At 41.7% G+C, this 4428-nt stretch overlaps 1 annotated feature.

Moving 5' to 3' along the window:
- Nucleotides 726-1925: an enhancer, noted in NCBI's record as "P300/CBP strongly-dependent group 1 enhancer chr2:191708051-191709250 (GRCh37/hg19 assembly coordinates)". NCBI's record gives its function as "activates an origin of replication core promoter dependent on BRD2, BRD4, P300/CBP, MED14 and CDK7 cofactors, with strong dependence on P300/CBP, by STARR-seq in HCT116 cells {active_cell/tissue: HCT116}" and the evidence as "EXISTENCE:reporter gene assay evidence [ECO:0000049][PMID:35650434]".

The raw sequence follows: 4428 nt of genomic DNA, 5'->3' as shown, positions 1-4428 counted from the left end.
TCGTTGTAGATGACCTAAGCATGATCACAATTTGATCTAATTCCTCTAATTTGTTTTTGCAGAAGCAAAATGTGGCTTGGGAATCCCCTGATCCTCCTAAAGCAAGACATTAAATTTGGGCTTATTATATTTCAACTGGACTCTACCATTTAGTGATTTTAGAGTCTTCTAGTATTCATTTTTGAGTCCCTCAAGATACTCAAGTATACTTCTTGAGTTTTTTTTTGACATGTCTAAATTTTAGTTGATACATTTAACACATGTGCTTCTGTGATACCTTCTTACTTTTTGAAAATTGCCTTTCCTTGTATAGCATTGTTCTTTATATTACCAGTCTCATTTAGCCTTTTTTTTTTGGAAGAAACTGATCTGATCTTTTTATTAGTTTTTTTTTCCCCCTGCGGGTTAGGATTCTTTTAATGGTCTATTATTTTAATTTTTTCACTTTTCTCATGGACAATCTCCACATTTTATGTCATTTCTTTTTCTTGAAGTAACTAACCTTGAATGGAAAAATTGGTATTTTTCTTTTCCCACCAGCATGTTGAATCATCCATTTGTCTGGTAACTTGAGACAGCCGGTAGAGGAGTCACAAGAGTAGGTACCTTTCCATGAGCTCACCTCTGTTCCACTCCCATCTCATAAAGGGTGTGACAGATACTTCACAGAAGGCAAGGAGAAAACAGGTCAGAAGTATGTTATTGGGGGCTTAGCACTGATTTTGGTTCTGACAAGCTGGCCACTCAGAGACAGCAGTAGCTATGTCTGTCTCAGTATGTGGTAGACCATGCTGTTGGGCCCATATATATATAGCCTCCATGCCTGCCACTGGGGCTACTTCATTCACGTACCCACTGTGTCAGTTCTGGGATGACTAAAATCAACTGGGTGAGTCATTTTGTCTACTTATCTGTTGAGTACTTTTTTCATGGTAGTTGCTATTTGCTGAACATTAAGGGACAATACAAAAAATCTTCACACTTCATGCCCCCTCCCATGTTTGTTCACAGATTCAGCAATTTGTCTTTTACTTTGGAGGTAATGGCCAGTGGACTCCTAAATATTTCACTGTACTAGCAGGTCCTGAGTCTTTGTAGAGTTCATCTTCCACCCTTTGGAGCATGTATCTAACCAAGGCTTCTAGCATACTGGCCACCTCTTCCTCTTTTGTCCAGTCATCATGATTTTATTGATGTGATGAATCAGGGTGGTGTTCTGAGGGACTCATAGGTGATTCAGACCTTTTCAGACAAAATTATGGCAAAGGGTAAGAGTGTTACCATAGCCCCAAGACAAAATCGGAGATCAATATTATTGTCTATTTCATCTGAATTCAAACCTTTTCTGATCTTCTTTCCTAATTGGAATGGAAAAGAATATGTTGTCCAAATCAATGGCTAAAAACTAGGTACCTGAAGTTTTATTAATCTGCTTAGCACAGTATCACATCTGGCACAGTAACTATAATCATCAGGTTTACTACTTGATTAAGTCTGTAATAGTACACAGTTATTCTCCAGGACCCAGCTGGTTTCTGCACGGACCACATTGGTGAGTTAAACAGAAATGGAGTGATTACTACTCCTGCATCATTTAAGTTTTTAATTGTAGCAATCATTTCTACCATCTCATGGGATATGATAGTATTTGTTTGTTTGTTTGCTTGCTTGTTTGTTTGTTTTGAGACAGAGTCTCGTTCTGTCACCCAGGCTGGTGTGCAGTGGCGCCATCTCAGCTCACTGCAACCTCTGCCTCCCGGGTTCAAGCAGTTCTCCTGCCTCAGCCTCCTGAGTACCTGGGATTACAGGCACGTGCCACCACGCCTGGCTAATTTTTGTATTTTTAGTAGAGAAGAGGTTTCTCCATGTTGGTCAGGCTGGTCTTGAACTCCCGACCTCAGGTGATCCGCCTGCCTCGGCCTCCCAAACTGCTGGGATTACAGGCATGGGACACTGTGCCTGGCGATACTGTTTTTTTAATTTATTATCTTGGCTAGGGTTTGGGGACAGTTTCAGAGGTTTCCACTTAACCTCTTCCCCTATGATAGCCCAAGGACCGAATGTGGGAGTTATTCCAAATGCTAAGCCAATTCCAATGATATTCTCAGGAACTTGGGAAATGACCACTGAGTCGATTCCTGAATCCAGTGGGTGAAATTTTAGCCAACTCGTTTATTACCTGGCCCTGTAGACCACCACACTAGTGGAGGTGGAGGGGACCATAACCATGCTTTGAATCTCTAGATATCAGTATTATCTCTGCTTCTGACTAATAATCCTAAAAATGTTTATTTGTAGGCACCATCCACCCTCCCCATGCATTTTAAATGCCTGCATCATCATATTTGCTACAGCATTTTACTTCACCAGGATATTTTTCCAGGTCATCATGAGTGAAGTCTTGAGCCACTGAGCCACTACCACCTTGTGCCAAATACTATCTGTGCCCTGCCTGCCAACCAGGATGACAACCCTTCACCTGCCAGGTGGTGAGTGAGCCAGTCCCAAATTCCTACTTTGTCACCTGTTTTCTCAGCCCATTTCTCAACATCAGTACCATTGGTGTTGACTTGGGTCCTCCAAGAGTCAGGCTTCAAGATAGGATAGAGGAAAAAGAGGTTTGTTAGGGGCAATGTCTGTGAGAGAAAAATAAGGTAGGTAGGGGGTAGAAAATGAAGGCCAGGAGAACCGTCAGACTGCACAACCCAGGCCTGACCTGGTTGGATGAGTGAAAAAAAGGAAGAGAATTGGGAGAATCACCCTAGACTTCAGTTTAGCTCTAAGAAAGTTTGGCAAATATTGGGAAATCTTAGAGTCAAAGTTGCCTATCAGAGGAGCTCTGTGACTCTCAGAAGCAGGTCTGCCTTAGTATCCCTATATTGCTCAGTCATTGGCTAAAAGCAGCCTGTAGGAAGCACGAATTTGGCTCAAATACAATGATGATTTCAGAGCACAGCAGCCAAGGGTGCCCACAGGCAGAAATCTGAAAGGTGCATTTTCATAGTTACCACAGATCAGAACAGTTGGAGGATCGTGAAGAAGAGCAATAATTATTTTTGTAGGCAAATAATAATAGATAACCGGTATGCAAGAAGAAAAGATGATCTTTCGTGAAACAAGGTACATTCTCTCCTCCTTTGGGTTGACCTGTCAGTTCACTGACATGAATCTATTGGTTGAAAGCTGATTAAGCAGCAAAGGTCTACACACAGTACGAATACCCAGAAAGAGCAAATGTAGATCATTGCAATGTCCTTGAGTGACAAGGGGGTGGAGGCAGAGAGAGAAGCTCTGCTGATTCAGACTAGAGGGAATTTTCCACCCATCACAAAGGTTTGGCTTACATTCTAGAATCTAGACAGTGACTGAGCAACATATGCTAGAAAGTTGGTGCTCTGCTGAAATTGGGCCCCGAGATATTTTTGGAAACTTTGATGCCCATGAGGAGGGAAAACTGCCAATTTGAAGTGAGAAGAGTGTTTTCGTGTCTCTAAATGTAGAGTTTATGGTTTAGTTTTTGAGAAAATTACTATTTCGAAAAATAATCACTGTGTTGGACACTTAAGAGAAATTGAGCAGGACCCAATTTGGAATTCAGACAATTAAGACTTTGAGGAGTTAAACTATGAAAATTTGTCTCCATTGAGGATGGAGATATATTTCTGTGGATTGTGTCCTTTAGGAGAATGTTTCTTTTCTGAACAAGGAGTTAAATTTCATTGTGTCTGAAACTATTCTTGAGTGGTGCTTTTGTGTCATCCTGGGTGAGCCTTCAGAAAGAGGAGGTAAGGAGTGGAGAGCCACTTGGGCAGAAGCGATATGGAGGTATGCATTTATATTATGCTGGAGAAGAGACCCTAAAGGGAGTGGACTGGGTTTGCAAATTCCCATGTTGGACCAAGCTTTTCTGATGTTGTTCTGAATTATGTAACTAAACACCTACTCAGTCTTTATTAGTTTGTTTTAGAAAAATAAACCATTTTATTCAATTGCTCAATTATTATTGAAGTCCTTCTAGGCTCAGGCACTATTTTAGTCACTTGGAGTATGTCAGTGACAAACACAAAAAGCCCCTGCCCTGTGAAGCTTATTTCTTATCCCTTGGATGTTCTATCACTGGAAAAGTTAGTCTTGGGTTGGAAATGGGACAAGGAGAAGTAATTTCTTCTGTCTTGGCCTTGGGCATTAGGGCCTCCGTTCTGGGAAAGGACAATGTGCTCAAGAAAGCGCTCAGTGGAAGAAGTGAGCCAGCCCTGTAACATGTTGGCTGGCTGGCAGCCAAAGTGAGAGACATCCAACTGAGGACTGCTGTGGAGGGTCCTTGGCTTGTGGACTCTGAGAACTACTATATCTGGCATAAGGTTTTAAACTATCAGGGAAGTTCCCTTCTGTTACCTACCAACCCTTCAGGGAAGTCTTGTTAAGGAA

Source organism: Homo sapiens, chromosome 2 (genome assembly GCF_000001405.40).
Source record: "Homo sapiens chromosome 2, GRCh38.p14 Primary Assembly".
Taxonomy (NCBI): Eukaryota; Metazoa; Chordata; class Mammalia; order Primates; family Hominidae; genus Homo; species Homo sapiens.
Note: the sequence above shows the minus strand (reverse complement) of the source record. Positions and strands in the feature narration are given on the sequence as shown.